General features: G+C 39.7%; 1 protein-coding gene and 1 long non-coding RNA gene across 16 annotated transcripts in view; both read left to right on the top strand.

Annotated features, from left to right (window-relative positions):
- LOC105374039 (uncharacterized) overlaps positions 1-18,149 on the top strand; it is a 177,487-nt gene extending 159,338 nt beyond the window's left edge. Inside the window, exon 3 of the long non-coding RNA XR_001740846.1 lies at positions 18,081-18,149. This is a non-coding gene — a long non-coding RNA (uncharacterized LOC105374039). The remainder of the gene's footprint in view (positions 1-18,080) is intronic.
- Positions 18,343-27,907, top strand: part of CD96 (CD96 molecule) — a 123,800-nt gene continuing 114,235 nt past the window's right edge. For all 15 annotated transcript variants that reach the window (XR_007093273.1, XR_924090.2, XR_241462.2 and 12 more), the window contains exons 1-2: positions 18,343-18,455; positions 21,192-21,548. Coding sequence is in view for 5 of the 15 variants with exons in the window: in NM_198196.3 (NP_937839.1) it covers positions 18,395-18,455; positions 21,192-21,548 (418 nt within the window). In the remaining 10 variants the exon portion in view is untranslated. The remainder of the gene's footprint in view (positions 18,456-21,191; positions 21,549-27,907) is intronic.

Here is a 27,907-nt window from a genome sequence, read left to right on the forward strand (position 1 = left end):
CAGATCACTCTTCTTCAGCTCTTTTGAATCTGTACAGTTGATACGGGGAAAGAAAAATAAGTTCACATTTGTTTTCATCAAGGAAAGAATTAGGCAATTCATATAAAATAACATTTTGGCCAAAAGTTGTTGTTATCATTAGAAAAACAAAAAGGACTATGCATTTTATGCTAAGAATAGCTTGTTTTGCACCTGGCTTACTTGGATGCCAGGCACTTTACATGTCATCAGTCTTCACACATACCCATTTAAGAGATGCTAGAACACAGAGGCTTAGAGAGATTTAGCATTGCTGCAGGAAGTCAGGGACCCCAAACAGAGGGATCGGCTGGAGCCACGGCAGAGGAACATAAATCATGAAGATTTCAGGGAGAGTTATCAGTTCCCTAATAATACTTTTATAATTTCTTATGCCTGTCTTACTTTGATGTCTTAATCCTGTTATCTTTGTAAGCTGAGGATGTATGTCACCTCAGGAACACTATGATAATTGTGTTAACTGTACAAATTCATGGTAAAATATGTGTGTTTGAACAATATGAAATTAGTGCACCTTGAAAAGGAACAGAATAACACTGATTTTTAGGAAACAGGGGAAGACAACCATAAGGTCTGACTGCCTGCAGGGTCGGGCAAAAAGAGCCACATTTTTCTTCTTGCAGAGAGCCTATAAACAGACATGCAAGTAGGGAAGATATCGCTAAATTCTTTTCCTAGCAAGGAATATTGATATTAATACTCTGGGAAAGGAATTCATTCCTGGAGGAAGGTCTATAAATGGCTGCTCTGGGAATGTCTACCCTATGTGGTTGAGATAAGGACTAAGATAAGCTCTGGTCTCCTGCAGTACCCTCAGGCTTACTAGGATTGGGAAATTCCATCCTGGTAAATTTTTGGTCAGACTGGTTCTCTGCTCTCAAACCCTGTTTTCTGTTAAGATGTTTATCAAGACAATATGTGCATCACTGAACATAGACCCTTATCAGAAGTTCTGCCTTTTGCCCTTTGTCCTGTTTCCTCAGAAGCATGTAATCTTTGTTCTGCTTTTTGCCCTTTGAAGCATGTGATCTTTGTGACTTATTCCTTGTTCGTACATCCCCTCTCCTTTTGAAATCCTTAATAAAAACCTGCTGGTTTTGAGGCTCGGGTGGGCATCACAGTCCTACTGACATGTGATGTCACCCCCGGTGGCCCAGCTATAAAATTCCTCTCTTTGTATTCTTTCTCTTTATTTCTCAGCCAGCCGACACTTATGGAATATAGAAAGCACCTACGTTTAAATACTGGGGGCAGGTTCCCCTGATATCTGGCACACCAATGTGGTTTTCTTTTTCCTAAGTGCATGTGGGAACCCAATTCCCTTTGGTAGGTGTGGAGAAATTTTCATTGGGCTGGCACACAGAAATGCTTGTTCAGCTCCCTGATGATTGGTGAGTTGTCTGTGTATTGTCCAGGGTAACTATGGGTCACATGGAGTCTAAACATTATGCTTATCTCTGCTATATTAAATTCCTGTTAAAACAGGGAGGAGTTTGAGTGCCCATAGAAAATATGGTCACCCTATTCAGGGCGGTGGAAGAACACTGTCCTTGGTTTCCTAAAAAGGGAATATTAGAACTCCACAGTAGGGGGCAGGGCGGTCGATCTCTGTAGTACCAGTCCTCTAAATTTACTACCTAATTCTTTCCCTTTAATTGTCCCCACGGGGGTTATTGGCCCTTTACCTCAAGGTTCAGTGGGCCTGGTGTTAGGCAGGGCATCCACCTCTGCTGACGGTATCATAGTTCATACTGGTCTCATTAATTCTGATTCCTCTGATGAGATTAAACTTATGGTGTCTGCCAAAGTTCCTGTTTCCATTTTGGCCGGTGAGTCAATTGCTCAATTACTTTTACTACCTAATATTATTTTAAACAAAGGAGATAAGACATGGGGCCCTGCGATGGGCTCCGGCAGTGAAAAAGCTGCTTATAGGATTAATGTAATTTCTAAACAACAGCCCACCTGCACCATACACATTCAAGGAAAAAAGTTTGACGGCCTAGTAGATACTGGGGCTGATGTTTCTATTATTTCCTCTAATTTATGGCCTTCCTCCTGGCTTAAACATCCCGCTAACATGGGACTAGTAGGTGTTGGAAAAGCTGATGAATTTCACCAGAGCACATTTATCTTGCCTTGCACTGGTGCTGATGGTCAAAAGGGTACAATTCAGCCTTATATCACACCAACCCCCATTAATATTTGGGGTAGAGATTTGCTGGCGCAGTGGGGGGCTGAAATTAATATTCCATGTAACTCTTATAGTGTTCCCAGTCAACATATAATGGAAAACATGGGGTTTGTTCCCAGACTTGGTCTCGGTCCAAGACATGAAGGAATTACTAAACCTCTTCAAGTTACTGTAAAAGAAGACAGGGCTGGTTTAGGTTATCCCTTTTAATGACGGCCACTGCCATGCCTCCTAATCCTGTAACTTTGTAATGGAAATCTGAAACACCTGTTTGGATTCAGCAGTGGCTGCTCTCTAAAGAAAAACTGGAGGCTTTAACTCAATTGGTTTCTGAACAGTTATAAGTTGGAAATGTGGAACCGTCTCTTTTGTCCTGGAATTCTCCTGTGTTTCCAGTAAAAAAAAAAAAAAAAAAAAAAAAAAATTCAGGTGAGCGGAGGATGGTAACTGATTTAAGGGCCATTAATGCTGTAATTAAACCTATGGGACCTGTCCAACCCGGCGTGCCTGCCCCTGCTTTAATACCTAAAAATTGGCCTCTCATAGTGATTGACCTTAAAGACTGTTTCTTTCATATTGTTTTACATAAATCGGATTGTGAAAAATTTGCTTTTACTGTACCATTATCAATAATCAGGAGCCTGCAGCTCATTATGAATAGAAAGTACTTCCTCAGAGACAGGCTGTGGTGGAATGGGCCAATCGCACTTTCAAAACTCCATTGTCCAAACAGTCTGAGCAACAAAAGCATAATGTAACCACTCCCCACTCCCAATTACATTTAGCATTGTTTACTTTAAACTTTCTAAATGTTCCTAAAGACAATACTCTGACTGCAGCTGAACGCCATTATACAGGGAAAAAATTCTCCCTAAATGGAAGCAAGCCAGTATTATGGAAAAACTCCCAGACCAATACCTGGGAACCTGGAACAATTTTAATGTGGGGACGAGGGTATGCTTGTGTTTCACCTGGAGATCATCAATCCCCTGTCTGGGTGCCCACTAGAAGACTTAAACTTCCTGTAAATACTGACAATGAAAACCACAAGGAAAAGACATCTGCGTCAGAGACCGCCATCATACCTGGTGAGATCTGTGCCGACTCTGCAGAAACTGGCATGCCAAATCAAAATGGGTCTGGTTTAATCCTCCCTAATGGCAATGGAGACCCCTCTAACTAATCCCACTTCTCCTAATTCCCTTTCTTTTTCTCCTTATGAACCTAAAAATCTCGCCATTTCTATTAGTCTGAAAATAACAACCCTCTGTTCTTCTCTTCTTCCTTCAGCACTGGACCTTGCTTAAATTGGTTTTATTTAATAATTCTCCTCCTTATACTTTCTGTCTCACCAGTTTCCCCTCAAACTGATTTACCTGCTACACAAAATTATTCTTATTGGGCTTATGTGCCTTTTCCTCCACTTATTCGAACTTTCACCTGGATGGATGCTCCTGAGGAAATCTATACTAACGATCGTGTGTGGATGCCTGGAGCTAGAGATGACCGTTGCCCTGCTCAACCAGGAGAAGAGGGCATTGCATTTAATGTTACTATGGGTTATAAATACCGTCCTCTGTGCCTCGGACATGCACCTGGTTGTATCCATCTAGAAACTCAAGTCTGGTCTGCTTATCTTCCAGAGAGATTAGCTACAAGGGAAGGAGGACATTTGGTCTCCGGCCTCTCCCTTTCTCCTTTAAGACAAATAAAAAGGGGAGTAATAGGAGATACCCCATACTTTCAATATAAACCTGTAGGAAAACCATGTCCTAAAAATTTTGAGGGCCCATCTAAAACTTTAATTTGGGAAGACTGTGTTAACTCACATGCAGCAGTATTAAAAAAAACCCATATGGTTTAGTAATAGGCTGGGCACCAAAGGGCTATTTAAAAAACAATTACTCCTCTGGCAGAAGGGAATGCCTGGAGGGTACTTATTTTATTTCTTATTGGGAGGGCGAGGATCATCATCCTACTTTGCGTAGGAGGTTCAGCTCATTCTTTCCCTTAAAATGGGAATATAAGGGCATTACCCCCCACCTGAGGCCTCATATGATATTCCCCATTCTGAGCCCAGAACACCCAGAACATAGGAAATTGGCTATTGTCATGTCCAGACTCTGAGTATGGGAGGGGGAAACTTTTCTGTCTGTTGTCCCCACTACCGCCCCTTGCATCCGTGATTCTGAACCCCATGGTAAATCCCCTTTGAACCCTTTTCCTCTTTTTGATGCTGATCCTACTTTATGGGACTCCAATTGGCATAATAATAATTCTTCTCAACCCGGGTATACCCCTCCACCTCTTCAGCATCCCTGGGCACCTCAGATTGCTTCTTTACAGCGGAGAACATCGGGCATTGCCACCACCACTCCTCTCCCTCAGTATCGACATAGATTCAAACATTCTGCTTTGTTTACCTCCAACCTGACTATTCCTATACAGAGTTGTGTTAAGCCTCCTTACATGCTGTTAATGGGAAATATCAAAATTTGGACAAACAGTCAAACTGTCCAATGCAATAATTGTCATTTATACACTTGTGTTCATTCCCATTTTGACTTCAGGAAAAGTGTAATGTTGGTTCAAACTCAAGAAGGAATCTAGATACCAGTAACTTTACCCAGACCTTGGGAATCTTCCCCCTCAGTACATTTAATTAATGAAGTGTTACAACGAATTCTCAAAAGATCTAAGAGATTTGTTTTCACTGTAATTGCTGTGATCATGGGCCTAATTACAGTCACTGCACTGGCCACCACTGCCAGAGTGGCATTACACCAATCTATTCAAATGGCTCATTTTGCTAATGATTGGCAAGCCAGTTCCACCCAAATGTGGAATTCTCAACAAGGCATCGATCAAATATTAGCTAATCAAATTAATGATTTAAGACAGTCTGTTATTTGGCTTGGGGATCGGCTTATGAGTCTCGAACATCACATGCAAATGCAGTGCGATTAGAATACTTCTGATTTCTGTATCACACCATATTCCTACAATGAGACTGATCATTCATGGGAAATGGTCAAAGGACACCTTCTGGGTAGGGAAGATAATTTATCCTTGGACATAACTAAACTAAAGAAACAAATTTTTGAAGTCTCTCAAGCTCATTTATCCATTGTGCCTGGAGCTGAGGCGTTAGATCAGGTGGCAGAAAGTCTTTCTGGACTAAATCCCACAATTTGGATTAAGTCTATTGGGGGCTCCACTGTAGTAAATTTTGGGATTAGGTTTCCCTGTTTAATCAGCTTGTTTTTAGTGTGCCAGACCAGTCAAAGAATCCTGTGTCAAAACCAAGAGAACGAACAAGCCTTCATCACCATGGCACATTTATATAAAAAGAAAGGGAGAGAAGTTGCGAGAAGTCAGGGACCCCGAATGGAGGGAACAGCTGGAGCTGCGGCAGAGGAACATAAATTGTGAAGATTTCATGGACATTTATCAGTTCCCAAATAATACTTTTATAATTTCTTACACCTGTTTTACTTTAATCTCTTAATCCTGTTATCTTCGTAAGCTGAGGATGTACATCACCTCAGGACTACTATGATAATTGTGTTAACTGTACAAATTCATGGTAAAACATGTGTATTTGAACAATATGAAATCAGTGCACCTTGAAAAAGAACAGAATAACAGCAATTTTTAGGGAGCAAGGGAAGGCAACCATAAGGTCTGACTACCTGTGGGGTCAGGCAAAAAGAGCCATATTTTTCTTCTTGCAGAGAGCCTATAAACGGACATGCAAGTAGGGAAGATATCGCTAAATTCTTTTCCTAGCAAGGAATATTGATATTAATACCCTGGGAAAGGAATTCATTCCTGGAGGGAGGTCTATAAACGGCCACTCTGGGAATGTCTGTCCTATGTGGTTGAGATAAGGACTGAGATACGCTCTGGTCTCCTGCAGTACCCTCAGGCTTACTAGGATTGGGAAACTCCATCCTGGTAAATTTTTGATCAGACTGGTTCTCTGCTCTCGAACCCTGTTTTCTGTTAAGATGTTTATCAAGACAATATGTGCATCACTGAACATAGACCCTTATCAGAAGTTCTGCCTTTTGCCCTTTGTCCTGTTTCCTCAGAAGCAAGTGATCTTTGTTCTGCTTTTTGCCCTTTGAAGCATGTGATCTTTGTGACCTCCTCCCTGTTCATACATCCCCTCCCCTTTTGAAATCCTTAATAAAAACCTGCTGGTTTTGAGGCTCAGGTGGGCATCATGGTCCTACCGATATGTGATGTCACCCCCAGCAGCCCAGCTGTAAAATTCCTCTCTTTGTACTCTTTCTCTTTATTTCTCAGCCAGCTGACACTTACGGAAAATAGAAAGAACCTACATTTAAATATTGGGGGCAGGTTCCCCCGATATAGCTTCTGTGTAAGGCCACAGCTAGAAAGTGGCAGAGCCAAGAACCAAAGTATATCTGATATGCCTTGGATCCATGTTCTGTACAAGATTTTCTCTGTGCTGAACAGCCCAAATTAGCACAGGTTATACATGTATATACACATGTGTATATATATGTATATATATATATCTCTCTCTGTAAAGTCTTAGGTGTGATTTTCAAAAATGATTTTGGATTCTGACATGGCAAAACAAGCCCCAGTGGAGAGGATTTTGATGCCTTTCTATCAATTACTTCTACTGGGGGTATAGACAGGAAGTGTCTGGAGGCCAGGCTGGATGCTGCTTAGTCTCTGCAGCTTAGAGGTCAGTACCGAGAAACCACACCTGTTGAAAGGTTGGCTGTTGGTGCAAATCACTGAGGAGGAAGACTCCACACTGCTTGTCTCTACTGTCAAAAGAGAGGATTCAACACTGTGGGAAACTTGTGCCATCCCAGGATTGCTATGGATTCATTACTTTTTTACTTTTAGCACATGTTCCTTTTTCTCTAGCCACACTTAGATATTTTTTCTTAATTTCTGTTCTCAATATCCAGGACTTTTGGCTTTCATTTTCTGTTTAAAAATATATTCTCAAATCTTCTATGATATGATAAGATCTTGATTTAATTTCTCAATACCCACTAACCATCCACTTAGACTTCTGTCCAATTCTTGAAAAATATTACTTCTATTTTGAAAAGGTTTTCATTCTTCTAGTTTTTGTGTTTAACTTCTTACCTCATGTTTCTTATCACAGGGGCAATAGTAAGACAGAGAGCCCACACAATGGAGCATAAAACTTCTTTTGTTTAGGCATTGGGAGGATGGTTCTCCAAAAAGCCTCCTTCTGAGCTACTTAGACTATTGATGGTTCATCTCATGTGGGAGTATGTCTTAAATCAAGGCCCCTGGAAAACAGACACTGTGGTGAAATTTGCCTACAAAAGCTTTATCAAGAAGTGCTCTTGAGAACAACACCTACAAGGGAGTGAGGGAAGCAAGAGGGGATGGAAGGAGAAGCTGCCTTCCAACGAAGTTGCAACAGAAGCCTCAGCCCTTCCCACAAGACAGCTCTAGAGCTGGGATGTCCCTTTAGAGTTATCAAGAATTGAGGCACAAAGCCAGACCTTTGTGCATCCTCCTTCATTATCCACTCATTACCAGTGGGCTGTTCCCAGGGAGAAAGCAAAAACTTAGAGAGGCAGCTTTCTTTAGATTAAGGAAATTCTTGGAAAGTGATGCAGCTATGAGCCATCAGCAGGCAACACTCCCAGCAGCAGAAAAAATTAGTGCTTCAGTCGTGAACGGGGAAATGGGACAGTGCACCACAGTATCCACTACACGCCTCCAGTTTTCTCAGTGTTGATAGCATGCTTAATTTGCTGAAAATATTTTACTTCATTATATCTTTAGTGGGATTAATGGTGACCCCTCAAGATATATGTGAAAAGCACCTGTAAATATGATCTAATTTGGAAAAAGGATTTTTGCAGATGTAATTAAATTAAGGATCTCAAGAAGAGATCCTCCTGAATTAATGGGGTGGGCCTTAAATCCAATGACTAATGTCCTTATAAGAAACAGAAGAGGAGATGACACAGGGAAAGGAGGAGAAGGCCATGAGAAGACTGAAATAACTGGAATGAAGCTCACAGCCCCAGAAGCTGGAAGAGTCAAGGAACAGTTTGTCCCCTAGAGCCTTTGGAGGAAGCATAGCCCTGCTAACACCTTGATTTTGGACCTCTAGTCTTCATATTTGTAAGAAACTGAATTTCTTTGATTTTAAGCCACCAAGTTTGTGGTAGTTTGTGACAGCAGTCCTAGAAAACTAATACAACATCTTATACCATTTAATCGTTACATAAAATTTGTATTCTTAAAACCCTCAATAGGAGGGAGAGTGGCATCGAGATACTTATATCCCTAGGTTTCTAACTGAGGGGTTGCCAAGGCTTGGCTACACATCCATGATGAAGGCCACAGTTCCTGTTGGGAGGCTCTCTCCCTGCAGCTACCCTCTCTCATGGCTGTCTCCCATTTCCCTGCAGTCATAGGAAAGAAAGTGGCTTCCCAATGTTGCTAGCCCCTAAGAACTATGCTACCCCTGGTCTCCCCTAAGCCCTACTACATCTTTATATATAGCCCCTATATTAAACTCTATTCAATTATCACTTTTGAATGTGCCTTCTGTTTTCTACTGAGACTAGACTGGCTTGTCAACTCTGGGGTAATTTAGCTCCCAGGGAGCAATGACTTCAGTCAATGCTAAGCCACTAGTGACAGCAAAAGTTGTATTGCAGCTTTTCTGAGATTTTGTAATATTATGTGCCTATATGTAAGAGACCTGGATTTTATAATACTCATTTTCCCATAGTTATAGCATTAGATCCCTTAACCCTCTGGCTTTCAAAAAAAAGAATCTTGTCATTGGTAGAGATAGGTTTGTCATCCTTATTTTTATCTATCTTAAGTACTGCTATTGAATTCCATCCCTTAGGTAACAAGAATTTCTCTATTTTCTACAGTTGATTTGAGCACTTGGAAAGCCAGTCACAAAATGTCTTAAGATTTATATTCTCTCTGGCAGGGCAAATATGGTCTGCTTTTTTATGTGCTGCTAATTTCCTTCATCTCACATACTCCACAGGAGACCTACGGGTGATAATTGGTGGCAGATCTAATGGGCTCCTTGAACTGCTCATAGCTACTCTGGGCATCCCTCTTCTTGATAACGCTGAGATAATATCATGGGAGAAGAGATATTATTTATCTTTGTCTCCTGTACAGATCAATCCTAGTGCCAGACATTTAAGTGGAGCTCAGTATTTGTTGAGACACTCAGCAAAATTAAGAATATATCTTATTTTTAGAACTCTGACTAGTTTATTTCAATTTTGTGGACCTTGTGAAATGTGTATGCTGTATTATTTCTATTGATGGGAAATGGATTTACTTACTCAAGAGTTTCATCAAAAAATATTCATATAGTGTCTATTATGTGCTCAATACCATTCTCGGGGCTAGAAATATAGCAGTGGAGTAATCAGACAGCCTTAGCATGCATTCTCCACAAAAGCACAGCCTGAGACAAGGGCCTGCCTACAGTTACTTTGGGATGTAATCGCATGGAACAGGAGTGGGGGTGAAAAAGAGTGAAACAGGGAAGGAGGGCAAGTCAATGCAAGGGTGCAATATCAAGCAGCTTACACTATGGTCCACTGTTGTCTGGGTCCCTCTGGGCACTTTCTTAGGATCTGTGTAGAACGCATCTTAGAATCTTTCACCTGAGCAACACAAGCTCCTGTTCCCCATTGATCAAAGGTTGCCCGATGAGGTGTTGACTCCCTGCACTTCCAAGGTCACGCATGTGTATGCATGGATGAGTGGAATGAGGCCTCCACCCCCACCTATCCCCCTTCCCTTGCTGAGGAGGCAGAGATGCCCAGGTCAGAAAGTAAGAGATATTTAGGGCAGCTGAGGAGAGGTGCTTTCAGGCTTACATTTGAGCAGCCTGTTGGACCCATGACAGCTGGAATGAAAAGGTGGGTGTGATATTGTGATGTAATAAGAATTATGTATTTGGTCTCTGTCCCCGGTTCCTGGCACACAACCCCTGAAACTCTTGGAACCTCTTAAGTGATAGATGTCTTTGTGTATGCTAGCAAGATGACTGATGACTGGGGCCTCTGGGATAGCCTCAGGATGGGAGGCTGGTTACCAGGGGAACCAACCATGTGATTAGAAGGTTGAAACTTTCAGCCCCACACCCTGACCTCTGAGGAGGGGAGGGGGCCTGAAGGTTGAGCTGATCACCAATGGCCAATAATTTAATCAATTATGCCTATGTAATAAAGCCTCCATGAACACAAAAGGACTGGGCTTGGGGAGCTTCCGTATTGCTGAACAGGTGGAGGTGCTGGGAGAGAAGAGCACCTGGAGACGGCGCAGAAGCCCTGCACCCTTCCACATACCTTGCCTTATGCATCTTTTCCATCTGCTGGTCATCTTCATCTTTTATAACATTATTTACATGGGTAAACATAAGTGAACTGTTTCCCTGAGTTCCGTGAGCCACCCTAGCAAATTAGTTGAACCTGAGAAGGGGGTCATGGGAACCCTGAATTATAGCCAGTCAATCAGGAGCACAGGTCACAAGCTGGGACTTGTAACTGACATCTGAAGTGAGAGACAGTCTTTTGGGACTAAGCCCTCAATCTGTGAGATCTGACACTATATCTGGGTAGATATGTGTCAGAATAAAATTATAGGACATCCAGTTGGTGTCGACTAGAAAACTGAAAAACTGCTTGGTGTGTGAGGGAAAACCGCCAGACAGCTGGTGTCAGAAGTGAAGTGCTGAGTGACTGCAAGGGAGTAGGAAAACCACGTTGATCTTTTCCTAACTTTAATGGTGGGTTGCAAAAATGTTTGGTGAGTCAAGAAGTGACTAATACATAAAGCTCCTGTCCTTCCCAGGCAAACGCTCTAGTGGAAAGTGACAATATACCAAAAAAACAAATAAATAAATAATCAACTTAATGTCTCATGCAAATAAGCCCTGTGAAAAAAACACAGTTGTTGCTGTGACAGAGGCCCATGACAGGGCTCCTTTAGATAGCCATGAAATTCAGGAAAGGCCTCTTTGAGGTGAGGACATTTGAACAACCACAGAATGAGAGAAAATATTCATGTATGTAGCCTGTGGAAGAGTTTTCCAAGCAGGGCAAATGCAAAGGCCCCGAGGTTGGAAGGACACAGAGAGCTTGAGGGACAGAAAGGAAAGAGTAGGAGGGTTGTGATACGTGAAGGAGCATGGGGTGAAGGAGGGAGGAGAGGTAGCCAGGAGCTCGTGGGGCCTTTAGGGCCATTAGCTGTGGTCAAGCATGCGTATGCCCTAGAGACATAAGAAAAGGGGAACTTGGACATTTACAGAGTTGATATTTGAAGTGTTCATCTCTCACAGGTAACTGTCATGGTCCCTGACACATTGTTCTTTGATATTTTATTTTACCAAGTGATACATCTGAATTATGTGTGCTGTGAATCACTCTGCAGGAGAGTGAGCCTAGTTAACAGCCAACACCCAAATTTCGACCTCATTTTGTGGACTTTTATTCATGATCATGTAAGTAGTAACACTCATGATCTGATTAATGTTCATTTCTGTATGAAAAAAAAGGTCAAGATAAAGCCAACCACTTCAATACTTTAAATATACATAACTATGACTTCAGGATGCATTTCCCACTGTTGGGCACCAGGTCTTGATTTATAAAATAAGGGAGTTGATTCTCCTGAGTTTCTATGGGTCTACATGGCTAAAGTGTGAAACTGATAAAATACTATTAATTCCAAGTAGATTCTAACTTTCTCTGAAGCAATAAGACATACTATTATTTTAGAAAAAAAGAGCTTTGAGGATCTTCAGCTTGCTTAAAAGAAACCTCCACACGGAGCGTTTTCTATAGTTTTTCTCCATCCTCCTCTAGCACCCCTGGAAATGTGGCCTTCCTCACTATGTGCTGGGTTATTAGAGAAGCTTCCCCATTAAGTTACAGTCATGTATATTGGAGATAGAGGAGAGGCTCAAAAGAGAAAGAGAGTTTGGAGATGTAAATATGAGACCCATAGTATCTTCCCTGAGCAAAACCAAAGGGAATAATAAATGGCTAAAGAACAGTGAAAATAAAGTAAAATTGATGCTGAGTTATATAACACTGGAATGAAGCTAATTCAATACCTTTAATTAAAAAATAGCATGCTTGGTTTCACCCAGAGTCAGTCAGAATTTCTCCAGGAAATTAAATTTAAAAGCAAGCAAGAGAACAAACAAAAACTTCTCAAAAATATATATATATAATTGTTTGAGATAAAAATCTATTTATTGTGTGTGTATGTATAGTTGAATATATATAAATCCTTATTTTTTCCTCTGTGACATACAGGTGTAGTTTTGTCAATAGAAATGTCATGGGAATGAAAAAAAATGTACGCTTTTTGGATTGCTTCTTATTTGTCAAGATATTAGAGGCAATTTGCATTTTAAATTGAAGAATAATTGGTTTTTATTATTGAATATGTTATGAAGCTCAATGTATTAATGGTGTAAAAGACTCATCGTAACTAGCACAGGATTTTTTATAAGAGACACTTTGATCTTGGGCAGGACATTTTACCTCTTCGGGTGTCATTTATTTCATCTGTAAAATAAAGGGCTCAGTCTATGCTAAATGACCAATACAGTTTCTTCTAACTCCAACATTCTGTAGGTTTTGGTAGGAAATAGAAAACCTATGTGTGCAAGCATGCTCATGCCTCTGCTTTTAACACTTTCACAAAACAGGCAAATCTTTACAAAGTTAGACTTCTTTTCTGAAGGAGAGAGCATATTTTTATGCACAACTGTCTTCTTGTTTGTTATGATTACTTTCTGGGGACTGTGGTTCAGAACAAAGTCCCTGGTCTCTGTAAGATCTCCAATCTTGAAATAAAATTATATTCATGATAAGGTTTTCATTGAGCCAGAAATGTGAAACAATGCATTTTTAAAAGATGTTCACCAACAAGGACTAATTTCTATCCTACTTACTTCTCCTCCCCAGTACTACCCCTCCTCTTCCAAGAAAAGAATTTGGTTTGGCTCTCATTTGCCCAGGAAATGCTATTAATCGCAATCTCCTATTCCCTGATAACATTACTTAATTGAGGTTTTATTGAGCTATACCATTACTCAAAGCAACAAATACAAAAGTGTGCTTTCTGTCCTCTCTCTGTCTCTCTGTCTCTCTGTCTCTCTCTCTCTCTCTCTCTGTCTCCCTCCCTCTCTTGCACTTCTGCATGCCCTATTTCTTTCACTCTTGTCCTCAAATGCAGGACTCCATTTAAAAGGAAATTACTGGGGGAAATAACAGGGAACAGAGGGGTGATTCAGTCCTTGGTTGACCTTACCTAGTCTATTGTTTTCACCAAGTACAGAAACACGACAGTTTCTATGTGAACTATAGTTGTAAAAATACAATGTGATTAAGAATATTATTGTAGCAGTCTATCAAAGAACCACAGTATATGATTTTGCTCCACACTATCTATTTTTAAGCTATAAAATCAATTGCAACCCTTCTCATTTTTCAAGGTGTTCTTTCTTTCTTCATTGACTATGAAGAGACATTTTAATAAATTTTAATGTTTTGAAGCCAGGTAGAATGTAGAACTTAAAATATTTCTTCTAATTCTGGCTATGCTAACTTAACCTTGGAAATATTAATGGTTTCTTCAATGTATTTCTGAAAAAATCAACATTTTGATTACTGAGTTATTAAATTGCCAGGGCTTTGGCAATTTCAAAATATCTCTGTCTCTGTCTCTTTCTCCATCTCTCTCTCTCTCTCCTTGTTTCAGTTTGCTACTCAAAATAAATATTCAAAGATTACTTATTATAATTATCTAATTGAATTATATAATTTTATTTCTGAAAGTAAAATGCCAGGTGGAAATTTTATATATATCTTACCTAAAATTATTTTTTGTACATCTATAAAATGAATTTTTAACATGCATGTGGTAAAAATTCATTTTCTTTATATGTACATGTTTATGAAGAAATCTAGACAAATATACACCATATAGGTCTTGGTAGTCTTTGGGCAGTTAGAATTCTTTCTTATCCATTTAAATTTTCTTTCTTATCCATTTAAAATGGTTTCATGTAATGAGCAGATATTGATGTTGTAACTGAAAAAGAAGTATTAAACTAAAATTAGTCTTTCATGGATGGAATTCGGCATGGTGAAAATGGTGATAAAACAGATTGCTATGCTGAAAGTCTCATGAAATTCTTTTTCATTACATGCTAACTCATAAAACTCATAAAATTTGAGTGAAAACCAAAAGAACTCTACTCTGATGAAGGCAGGACTGCTAGCTGTGCCATAATAGGTTATCTTTCACATCCATCAAAAATCTATTGATCATTTAATAACTGCTCCTTGATTAGGGTGGTTCTTCCAGCAAGAATCCAACTCTGTTTGTTTTCCCTTTTTCCTAATTCTGAGGCATGAAACTTTATAGGATATTTTGATTCCATGCCCAATCGTACATCTCACCTTACAGCCTCTTTATTGGTAATGACCTTGCTTTCATCATGCTTCGCCATGCCAGTCAGCCCATTCTCATCCTAAAGTGCCCAAAGAAACATAAACTCCTAACAAGTCTTCTGTTTCTCTGTTCTCCTTTCTTCCATTCATTTCACACACGCCCACCCAATTTATCCTTTTAAAATGTTACTTTAAATATATGACTCATATGCTGAAATATCTTTAGGGAGTCTCTCTGACATGAGGAAAAAACCCACACCCTTTAGCCTAGAATTCAAAGCTCTTGGACAGCTTTGTCTGCTCCAAGTCCCCTAATACAGCCTCTGCTAAACCGGAATAGCCCACTCACTAAATGGCCTTGAACTTCAACACTGTCAAGTGTTGGCTCTTCCTGTTTCTTCTGCCTGGAATGACTTAGCTTGCGGTTTCTACCAGTCTGACGCCTATAGGGCCAAGTTTAGATTCCATACTTCATATGCTCTTGGCCCACTCTACCCCTAAGATAACTCCCCCTTTGCTAAAATCCTGCCCTACCTTCTCATTTGGGCTGTGCTTTATGCTGCTTGACTTTTTTGGTGCACATGGATGCTTCCTCCCAGCTAAATGGTAACTGCCTTAAAACTGAGGGTTGTGTTTTATCTTTGGTATTTTAAAATTATCTAGAACTATGCCTCTTCAGTAATCTCTTAAGAATTGACATACAGCAAGTATTTTTTAATTAACTGAAACCTTAACCATCATGTTTTCTAAGCATTTTGGAAAACATGCAAAAGTATAGCACTCCCATTTTTATTTTTAGTAAGTGTTTAAAGATAAGTAAGTAATATTTGAGTTAACCATTATGAAAACCACAAAAGTAAGTTTACCTTTTGCTCAACTTCCTGTTTCTGAAAATGTCCTTTTCTCACTGAGTGTGTTTAGCTAGAGCATTTAAAAAGTTTGTCCAAAACACACAATCATGGCTTGCCTTTAGCAGAAATAATGTGTGTTCCTGCTTCTCTTTGTAAATAATTGAATTTGCCTCTGCAGTTCAAGAAGATCACGATTTCTTTTTGTGTGTGAAACTGACTTGCTTCTGTTTTCTCCTTATGTGCAGCAGACTATAAGGCAGAAGAAACCCTGTGCAATCGGGATATGGTGGGTAGGGAGGATAATAGAAGAGATTGACATGACTTCCATAGAAGAGTTATTTTTAAGTATAGAGAACGCCTGTCTATCCCCATGCTGAAAGAGCCTTTAGAAAATATTACCAGGATTGAAAGGCGGTGGGGGCAATTCCCATCACCTGGGATAGCCGTGCCAGTCTGCGGAGTGTTGCTGCCACCTGCTGCATGCAAACAGCCATGGAGGGGCTGTTGCCTGGGTCTTGCAGCTGCAGGACACCCGAAGTGTAAGCGTTCAGTTAATATTCTGTGGCCATGCATCTGAAATTGTTATACTTTCAGAACCTGTGTGGATCCCAAAGAAAAATTAATCAAATCTGATGGCTTCAGGCCATAGAAGTTTCTAGATATAAGAATCATTAACTAAGCCCTGAACAATACACAGAAGACAGATTTGCCGTATAGCCACTAAATGCATGGCTCAGGTAGCCCAACCCCAATGAGAGGCAAGAATTCTACTGAAAGTAAGTCTGTAGCACTGGAAAATAAACGACCATTTCCATGTTTCTGAGTTTACAGACTTTTTTGGAACAACTGTTTCACTTTAATACAATAAAAGATAGGAGAAGTCTAAATACCCCAAAGAGGGTATTGTTCTTAGAGAATTCAATAAATGTATATTTGAATTGGTTTCTACTTAGGTAAATTCCTCTTAATATGAAAAATGGAACGAGATCATAGAATCCCTTCTCCAGGCTTGTAATGTGTCCTGATTTAATAGGGACACCAACGTGCAAATCAGGATCTTCATAGTGCATCTCCAGGACTATTTTTGCTGCTATGCTTCATAAAACTTTGATTTACTAGAATTTCCAGGGGCAATGGGAAGAGATGAAGCTACCCAGAGCAGTTATGTCTCTTCCTGACCTTCTATAAAGGACTTTGAGTTCCCAGGCCTTCCCTGGAAAATCACTGTCAGTACTACCTGACCCAATATCCCCAGTGACCTGAAACTCATGGGAAGTTGGGAAGGGGTGATAATAAAGGTTTGGGGAGCACTGGACTAGGCAAGCAGTAACTACATCTAAATTCTGCAAGAAATCATTAGCTGAGGAATACTGAATAAGTATGGCAATTATCATGGCAAGTATTTGCAGTGGTGGTATAGGGGGTGATCTGGACGTCCAGGAAGACAGTCGCCCTTGTTTATTTACATGAAAACCTCTCTTCTCCCATCTAAATTTAATCTCCTGAATGGCAAAAGCATTTCCTTCTGTCTTAGCATCGTCCATATTCACCACGAGTCCTTGCATAGGAGAGATTGGTGTATACATGATGACAACCTGACGAAAATTATCTCCACCTCACCTGAAAAGAATTCCCATCTCAGGATTACAACTGGCCTTTTCATTTGTCTTTGGTCTTGCTAGGTGGTACGTATATTCTAGTAATGAGATTAGGGTCACAGGATATTTTAATCATTCATACGGTTGTATGAAGACACACATGTTTATTTGTAGTTATTCTTTGTCCATCAAACTTACAGTAGTCCTCAGTCTAATGCTTGTTTTCTTAATGTTGGAGGGTGATGACAGCCTATTTTATCTCAGGCTGAAAAACTAATACAATTAAATCAGAGAATCATAGCAGGGAACAGTCATCGTGTTCTACGAATAGCCAGACATTTTTACCAAGGGGTCACTTTCCTGAAACCTGTTTGCGGTTCTCTGTAAATAGAAGTAACTAGGCAGATGTAATAAGCCTAATAGCTCACTGAGGTGGGAATTCTCTGCCTTTGGATTCTGATTGTTACTGCCTTGCTTTGGCTTAGGCATGGATAAACTCTTCTGTGGTGAACAAAAATGGCCTCCAGCCAACCTGGTGGGAGACTTCCCTATCTGACCTCCAACCTTCCCTCGTCTTCCCAGACGAGGGGTAGAAAAGTAGCCCTCACTCCTCCACTCCCAGGAAATGTGCATTTCCCTGCAAGAGGAGAGACAATAAAATTTGGTTTGATAGCTGACACTATTCCCTGTTACTTTTCAGATTTTATTAAAATTAAATGTGTTAATTCTTTGTTCTTTCACCCCAGGGCAATTCTGGAAAGAAAACATATCTTAAGATTGAACAGAAAAACTATTATGAAAAACACCAAGCTCACATTTGTTAAATGACTTTGTGCTCTTGAAAAAAATGTATAAAAAGCACATTGCCAACTGCTCTGCGTGATATCCTTTGTTTGGATTTTAGACGCAGCTTGACTGACACAGAGATCCTGAATAAGAGACTCTTTGGATACTGAAAAGTCTCTTAAATAAGGTGATACACAAATTTCAGAGAACAATTTCAACATTGTTCTGTCGAACGTTATACTCAGTCCTGAACCACATTACTTTCCTGTCTACGTTTCATTTCCTGGGGGCTTGCCAAGTGATAAACAGACCCAGGCGTGTGTGGTAGAGTTCGGGTTTTTTAGCACGAAGTGGGTGGCTGGAGTTTGCTTGAAAACATCAATTGACTTTGTGATCATTACAGAAATGCTGGTGTAAGGTGTTCAGAAGACAATGGAGAAAAAATGGAAATACTGTGCTGTCTATTACATCATCCAGATACATTTTGTCAAGGGTAAGACTTCCAGTTGTCCCTTCTTGTCGGATGGGCCGCTTTAGGGGCGGATGGGGCCTCTGTTCATTTAAAATGCCTTGTGACTGCTGCTGAAATTGATCACCAAAGGACAAATCATTACTAAGGGTTTCAGTTATGTATTTAAGCGGCAGGTATAAGAGAGATGCTAGAATCTAGAAATGATTACTAATGAACACTAAAAATAAGAAGGGAATGGGTCATTTGTGCCACTGCTCTGAGGCATTTTCACCCATTTCCTTTCTAACAGGATCTCTGGAGTAATTGGCAAATTGTGTTTCTTGGAAATGAAATGCTCTCCAAATGGTAGCCAAAACAACTGCGGAAAAATTAAAAATTACAAAGCCATCAACGCTCAGAGATCCTTGTTTAACTTTTTTCTCTCTCAAGTACTCTCTTTCTTTTGGATATAACAAGTATTTCTCATCCAAATACTAAGGTCTTTGGGAGTTGAAAACACGTTGAATTTTAATGAGGCATGTGTAGGTATGAACCTGGGAGACAAAGTGGAATCCTTATGACAGTGGGAACGAGAGCCTAATGGGCCTATTTAAAAAGAGAAGGAAGCAAGATTAGTTCTGTATTCCACAGTATGAGAGTATCATAGTAAGCCTGAGTGTCTTAAGAATTAACTGTGCTTTTCAGACATAGCTATGAAAATATTAAGGAGAATTTCTAAATCAAAAGAGATTTGGAATATAATGCTGTAGATAGGATCAGAGCCATATTTTCAGGCAAAGGATAGCTCACAGGAAGTTACATTAAACTGTACTAACCTCTGCCTACCAAACTTTTGCATCCACAGAAGTATGATAATTCCCATTTGTCAAGTACTTTTACTTTTAAGAGGCTTGTTTCTTCTCAGTTGCTTGTCATCTTTTTATCTTTTCCTTTTGTGAGCTTCAGTGGTACTTGTCACAATAATATATATCATTTCTGTAACAGGATTCCATGTTAATTCTAAAACTGAGGCCAACACTATTGAAGGCATGTCACAGTCTCAATGCTTAACACATTTTAAGTGTCCTGTATCACTCAGTCAGACTGCTGATGGGAAAGAGACTCTACTTATGTCTAGTATTTCAGACCATCGATTAGAGGTGATACTAAGTGGAACCTCTACCTAAGGTTAGATGAGGTCCTTTCAATCCTTGTATATTGAAAGTGAAATTTCTTACTCTAATCAACTAGACTGAATTTGGGAGACAGTTTGGAAGTTATGTGGAAGGAAAATAAAATAAAATAAGTAATAATAAAGTTTAAAATAATAAGCATAACATAGGTAATAGTTAACATTAAGTATAGGTTACTTAGAAGTTATATGTAGGCTAAGAAATTTAAGTAGCCCCTCCCAGCATTGCTAACAAGTTGCAGCTGTGAGCTTATCTCAACCTTCCAAGCTTCTTGCCTGCCCCCAGACCCCCACATATTTCTGTAACTCCTGTTTTACCTTACCCCATCTCTGTCTAGCTTCAAGATTGACTGGTTAAGATAACTAAATTGTAAGTTTTCTCAGAATTGTCACGGGTTAAATAATTTACTGTCTTTGCCTGAAACCTGTATCCTGCCTTGTTTTCCCACCTCAAACGACATATAAGCAAGCCTGCTTTCTTTGTCAGAGTCAGCAGCCATTTTGGGCATGAGTCTGCTGTGGGCCTGGATGCCTGAATTAAATAAAGTTCTCTTTGGTCTCTAAAGGTCTCTTTGTCTTCCTTGGCTGGAGTTTTACTGTTATACTTATGAGGGTTATAGAAAGACCACAGACTCTGGGCAACTGAATTCATTCTTTTACTGGAGGTGTGACTTTTTTTGTTTTGTTTCGTTTTTCGTTTTTTTGAGATGGAGTCTCACTCTGTTGCCAGGCTGGAGTGCAGTGGCATGATTTCGGCTCACTGTAATCTCCGCCTCCCAGGTTCAAGCGATTCTCCTGCTTCAGCCTCCCAAGTAGCTGGGACTACAGGCGTGCACCACCACGCCCAGCTAATTTTTGTATTTTTAGTAGAGACGGGGTTTTGCCGTGTTGGCCAGGATGGTCTGGTTCTCTTGACCTCATGATCTGCCCACCTCAGCCTCCCAAAGTGCTGGGATTACAGGCGTGAGCCACTGCGCCAGGCCTGGAGGTGTGACTTTGAGCATACTGTTTCATCTCTCTGTGGCCCAGTTTCTTCCTCATAAAAAGGGGTTAACAACATCACCTATGGCGTGTGAGGGGGATTAAACAAGATAAGATATGAAAGGCCCTTGTAAACATGTATTTTTCAAAGAAATTGCTATACACATATCATTTATTTTTGCAGTTTCAGAAAGCATCACGTGTGTATTATATTCAGCTGTCGTTTTATAACCCAAAAAGCCAATTATATTAAACGTAAGAAGAATCGTCATACTAAGTTTGCTGGTGTGCTTCAATTTTCAAATAGGCTTAATTTTATTCACAGGTAGTCTGAAACCTTCAATTATATTTTGGTCAGACCAACACATAGATAAATATTTAGAAGTCAGTAATTACCTCTAGCTTCTCTACGTAAATGCCTCCTCATTTATATTGTCTCATGCATCTCTATCTGAGTGAGACACAAGCTCTACTCTATTCCTAAAGCAGCCAGGGAGAAATTTCCTCAGTTGCTCCCCTCACCTTACTGAAGTGACTAGGGTTTTTAATTAAGCGTCATTCTATGTGAATTATTTAAACTCATGGCTCATGTTCTTTCTTTTCAGGAGTTTGGGAAAAAACAGTCAACACAGAAGAAAATGTTTATGCTACACTTGGCTCTGATGTCAACCTGACCTGCCAAACACAGACAGTAGGCTTCTTCGTGCAGATGCAATGGTCCAAGGTCACCAATAAGATAGACCTGATTGCTGTCTATCATCCCCAATACGGCTTCTACTGTGCCTATGGGAGACCCTGTGAGTCACTTGTGACTTTCACAGAAACTCCTGAGAATGGGTCAAAATGGACTCTGCACTTAAGGAATATGTCTTGTTCAGTCAGTGGAAGGTACGAGTGTATGCTTGTTCTGTATCCAGAGGGCATTCAGACTAAAATCTACAACCTTCTCATTCAGACACACGGTAAGCATAACTGGTAGAGGGATGTGCTTTCATTCAGCTCTCTCTCATTCAACAAATGTACATTTTAAGAAAAGCAAGGTTAGGCTTGGTGCTCAGCATACAAAGGTTGAGCAGAAAGAGCTACTGTCTGATAAGAGAGACAGGAAGTGACCACAGCATTTAAGTAAATAAATGTAAACTTGCAACAGTGATAAGTGTCGATAATAAATACTGTAACAGTCTTGTGAAGGAGCACATCACAGAGGCCATTGAAATTGTCCTTTAGAAATTAACACCATAGCTTAAGTCTAAAGAATGAGTAGACACTACCACAATTTAGGAGGTGGGGCTGAGGCAGAGTGGGATTGTGAGTAATCCCAGAGAGAGAAAAGAGCTTGCATGAAGCTCTTTGGAGTGTTTGAAGAAATGGGAAAATGCCAGTGGGACAGCAATACAGCAATTAAAGGATAAGGCAGGTAAGGACCAGATCATGTTGGACCTGGTCAGCTTCCCTTTTAAAAGGTTTCTATTTTGATCTCAGAACCATAAGAAGACATGGAAGTATTTCCAACAAAAGGATGGCATGACATTTATAGGCTGACTGTATTTGTGTTGTTTAAAAAAAAAAAGTCATACTGACTTTCATGTGAAAATGAGGTGAAGATGGACAAGAAGGAGAAGGTAGAGACAACTCAGGAGACCACCTCAGTAGCCCAGAAAAGAGAGAGTGGTAGTTCAGGTAGATATAGAAGGAAAATGGCAAATTTTGTTCATTGGGCATAAAACAGATATGATCATAGAGAGAATATAAGACAAGGGCAGTATGAAGGAAGGAGAGAAAGAAGTTAAAGGTGACATCTGGGTGTCTGGCATGCACACCTGAATGGTGGTGCTATTCACTGTGATGGAAGGTAAAGGAAGGTTTGTGGGTGAATTTATGAAAGTGATTCTGGGTATACAATATTTAGTCTAGGGCAGGTAAAGGGACAAAGGAAGCTGCTAACTATGAAGCATTCACACCAAACATACTTTGGAGGCCTGCATTTAGAAGTGGGAATCCTAGATTTAAGTTCTAGCTCCTTTCTGAATAGAAATAAAATTTGACTTGGGGCCTGTGGTGTAAATTCTCTGAGCCCATTTGGAAAATGATTATAATAATGCCTGCCCTAAATTACCTGGTCCTAAAGTAAATGATTTTCATTTCTGCTAATGGAAAACAATGAAAGTGAAAGCCAACAGATGCAAAATGCACTGGCAGTGGACTGGTTCTAACTCAGGGCAAAGTGGCCTGGTAATATAAGAAAAAAAAATAACTCGTGAAGGTCATATTAAAGGGGGCATAGAGCTGTCCAGAACAAGCAACAGGTATGGATTTATAGCCTCCTCTCCATGTCTTATAACTTACTTGCTTTAAAAATATGCTGTTGGAACAGTCCACCTATAGGCCAAGGTCCCATCAACTACTATCTTATAATGCCCAATTCCCTTGCTGTTTTCCAGGAGGAAAACACACCACACACACACACACACAGACACATACACACACACACACACACACACACACACTTCAGTTCAATTAAGGATGGAGTGGAGTGGGATTGAAGTAAAGAGAAATGGAAGACCTATATAGAAAACTGTTTAGCTATACATAGTTTGATTCAGGTAGCCTGTATTTGGATATTGGCTCTATCATTTACCATACGTTTCATCATTCCCAAGTTGTTTCAAGTTTCTTACATAACAAATATGGATAATTATAGTGCTTTCTTTACAGGTATCACTAGCTTGGTGATTAAATGAGATAATCTGTGTAATGCACTTAAACATATAGTTCCTGCTAAAGGATAAGAGTTTGGTAAATGGTAGTTTTCAATTAAGAATAGTAATAATTATATTGAGCAAATTCTATTTCTCAGTTCCAATTAAATATGAGCCCTGCTCCTTCTTTTTATATATTGACCTCATTTGGAACCCAGTAAGACATTTGCCATGTAATGTTAGTACAAGTACACATTGACCTTGGTTTCATACATAGTTTTTTTTGTACATTCTGCCTGAACCAGTAAACAATACTATTGCCTCACGGAGGACTCAGTGTTTCCTTCATTGAGACTTGGCAACATGGACTGATGTACCTTATAGGAAATAGAATAAGTGATGCCACAAAATGAAGACAGCAATGGAGAACAGATAGTATATTATCCAGAAAGGAGGATGATGTTGCCTTTAAAGAAATGTATTTCTTAAAATAAAGAGAACCAAGGGAGTTAAGCTTGTAGCTACTAAAAACTGCAGGTCACTGGAGAGGCAGAAACCGTATCTATACTTTTTGCGGTTGGAAAATTTCCGGTCTTCTGAATGTAACTTTGCTGCTGTCATCTGGATCAGATGAAAAGCAATGGCCTCAGTGTTAGAGAAATGGTTCTGGTATTGTGATTTTGGGTACAAAGGGAGTAAAATAGAAAAGAGCAAAACAGAAGGGGGAAACATCCTTCACCACAGAGTGACCACAAATGTAAGCCTGGTACGGAGCTACAGAGTAGGCAGCTGACTAAAGGGAGGCAGTTGCCATCTGAGAGCTCTGTCAAGTTCACAACCAATAGCATATTTTCTTTCTACCCTTTACTGTTTTGATCTTCTCTTGCTTCTTCTCCTCTCACTTGTACAGTTTTCTTCTTATGCCCCTGTGCAATCTTTAAGTTTACAAGCTAGTTGGGTAAGCAAAACACACCTGAAGTGCAAACACTTATATAGTACATAAACAAATGCAAATTGAAGTGGTGCATAAGAACCTAATTTGAAAATGCTGAGGGACTTGAAGTGTTTGAGTTGATCATCTCTTCCTGTTTCTTTTCTGTTGCTGTTTGAGTCATTCTCTCTTGTCTGCTCACAACACAGTGTGTGTCTAAATCCTGTTCCCATGTTCCCCAAGGGCCTAGCTGTGAAAGGATTCTGTTCTCTTTTCACAATATTTTGTCTCTGTGTGTGTCTTAGTGCTCTGAGATTGTGGACAAGAGTGGAAATATAATAAACAGTGTGAGGTTTGCCTCTTTTTCGCTTTCACTTGACAGAGTTTCCTCCTAGGTTAGGAGATTTTCAGTCACTCCAAGAAATGCAGTTCTCTGAGTTAAGCCTTGGATTGTCATAATCTAGATTTCATTCATTTGAATGCTACTGGATCCCATAATGCTTCAGATTGTAAGATTTTGGTGCATTTTAAAATTTGTAGTTATTAAGATCAGTTATAAGAGTATAACATGGCTTTAATTTACTAGTTCACAGTAAATGCCTTGGTGGGCTGTTAATGTTATTGGAAGCAGTAGTAGCAGTGAATGCGGTTGGAGAAGTCATGGTCCTGGAAGTAGTAGTAATAGTAGCAATAAAATTTTGATACTACAATGTTGATAAGCTTGGTCTAAAACATGTTGTTATCCTGTCTAGTTTGTATTGAGCCTGAATGCTGGCTCTTCTTAAATTCCTGTATTTAGTCTTTATCCAACAAGTGTTTTTGAGTGCTTACAGTGCTAGACACTGGGCACTAGGCACAGAGTAGGCATATATGCATGACTGTGTCTTCATGAATCACAAAGTTCAATAGGAAGAAGTTGACATTCATCAAATAAGCAAACAAATATCAAATTGCAACAGTGAGAAGTGCTTCAGAAGTGAGGAAGTAGTGTATGAGAGGGTATAATAGGAAAATCAGAAAAGACTTTCTTTACTTTGTCCTTTCCTTTCCCTTCCCCCTTATTTTCATTTCCCTCTCTTCTCCCCTCCCCTCTCTTCCCCTCCCCTCCCCTCTCCTTTCCTTTCCTTTGGAAGCGCTGCTTCAACTGGAGTTAACCAAGTGAACACAGAGCTTTACAAAGAACAGGACATGCAAAGGTTCTATGGGGGAAGGAAGTTATAACAACTGGGTAGGCAGGGGAGATTTTAAAAGGTATTATGGCTGGAGCAGAGGGATTACAGGTGAGGCAGTTGACGATAAGGTTAGAAAGATTGATTAGTCCATTTAAGGAGTTTTGTCTTTATCCTAAGAGCTGTGGGAACTAATTAAAAGGTGGTTGTTTTGTTTGATTTTTTTTGTTTTGCATTTCAAAAATGCATCTTTGTGGTTCAAGTGTAGAGAATGAATTGGAGAAGGCAGAGACGATAGTGTGGATCAGTTAGAAGACAACAGCAGAAAGCTACATGAGAGATGCTGGTACCATTAAGTACAGTGGCAATGAACTAGAAATAGAAGAATGTTTAGATTAGAAACTTGTGTAGGAGATTCTCCCCACAGGATCAGTGGTGGATTGCCTACGTGAAGGAAGGAATAAAAAGCAGCGTCAAGGATGATGCTTTAATTTCTAATATGTGACACAGAAAAAATAGGGGAACATTGTATTAGGGAACACTGGAAGATGATCAGATCATACAGAAATTATTTTGCATTTAATCTTATAGATGTTGAGTTAGGCATGAAGTTGTGACATACAGAAGACGTTAGGTAAACTGGATATACAATTTCAGATCTAGGAGAGAGGTTTAAGCTGAAGATACAGAGTCATCTGAGTGTGAGTGTTAACTAAAATTCTGGGAGTGAAAGAAATCCTCTAGGAAGAGAAAATCAAGCAAGAAAAGCCATGTGGCACTTCAGCAGAGTCCATGGTGACGGATGGAGAAAGGTGAGTCTTCAGAGGATAATGAAGAGCAATTAAAGAGGCAAAAGTAGAATCAGGAGTGAATTGGGTCACAAAAACCTGGAAACATATTACATAAAAGGAATAGCCATCAATTATAAAGTTTCTAAGAAGATAAAATAGTTATTCGAATGTATTTTAAAACATGAAGTTTTTTTTATCACCTAACAGGAACTGTTTGATGGCATTATGGAATGGAAGTCAGGCTGGAGGGAGAAGAGGAATGAGTGGGAGGCAAGGAAATGGGGACAGCACATTGATATGACTTTCAAGAAATCTGCCAGTAGTAATAGGAAGAGTAGATAGAGGTGTTCAAATGCGGGATTCTGTTGATACTACAGTAGTGATGGTGGTGGTGGTTTCAATTAATAAGAAACACTTGACTGTGCTTCAAAGTTAATGGGCAGGATCTAGTTGAAAAAGGGTAGTTAAATACACAGTATGGAAGATAAAATAATAAACCAAGGTTTCTAAGAAAATGGGGACAATGATACTCACAACACAAGTAGGACTACCCCGATATTGAAAAAAAAAGAACAGTTTTTTTTTATTGTAACAGGTGGGAGGGAAAATAAGATGAGTGCATATGATGAGGGAGGTGCTGTCTTCTATTTCTCTAAAATAGGAAACAAAACCATCTTCAGCTAGAGAGAGGAAGGAAGCTTCAGAAAAGAAGATTGAGGAAGGTTTGAAACAGCTGCTATGGATAGAAGGGAAATGGATTCACTAAGTTAACACATTTGGATTTTTGGTCTGTGTTGAACATCCATTTGGGTATGGTATGAAATGGTAGTGAAAACAATTCGCACAAGGCTTTCTCCAGCAGTGATTGGCTGCTTGAGTCTGGGCATTAAAAAGTACATAGTGCCACATTTGGATTCCTTTTTAGATTGTTGCCAAAAGGAAAACAAAAAGGCAAAGGATTTGGGGTATAAGCAAAAATATTATTGACATAATGCACTATAGAACTTTAGCTTGATAATAAGAGATGCAAAGAAAAAATAAAGCTGGTGATTTGGAAAAAAGTAGAGTGATTAACTCATTAAAAGACCAATGAGGTTGGAGAACAGTTGAAATGAAACTGGTTGCACAAACTGGAAGAAGAGATGTTTGTAGGTCTGAATTTGTGATTTTGTAGATGAGCTATTTTACATGATAACAAGATCCAAGATGTGATTGTGAGAGTAGATGGCTAAAATGAAGTGGAGACAATTAATGAAGATGACAGTGGGAAGAACTGAGAGTCCAGGTATTGGAGAAGTCATCTGCATGGTCACTGAAAGCACCTAGGTTATGTCAGGTTTGGGGCTGCAAAATATTGCAGTCTACATAAAAACATTTTCAAAGAAAAACGGAGTGTGATTGGGAGATTACAGCAGAAGTTGACAAACTTTTTCTCTGAAGGGTCATGCTAAGCTTTGAATATTTGTCCCCTTCAAAATCATTTTGAAATTTATTGTCATTGTAACAGTATTAAGACATGGGACCTTCTTTTTCTTCAAATTTTAAGTTCAGGGGTACATGTGCAGGATGTGCAGGTTTGTTATATAGGTAAATGTGTGCCATGGTAGTTTGCTGCACAGATCATTCCATCACCCAGGTATTAAGCCCAGCATCCATTAGCTATTCTTCCTGATGCTCTCCTTCACCCCACCACACCCTCCGACAGGCCCCAGTGTGTATTGTTCCCCCTCA

Source organism: Homo sapiens, chromosome 3, assembly GCF_000001405.40.
Source record: "Homo sapiens chromosome 3, GRCh38.p14 Primary Assembly".
NCBI classification, from domain to species: Eukaryota; Metazoa; Chordata; class Mammalia; order Primates; family Hominidae; genus Homo; species Homo sapiens.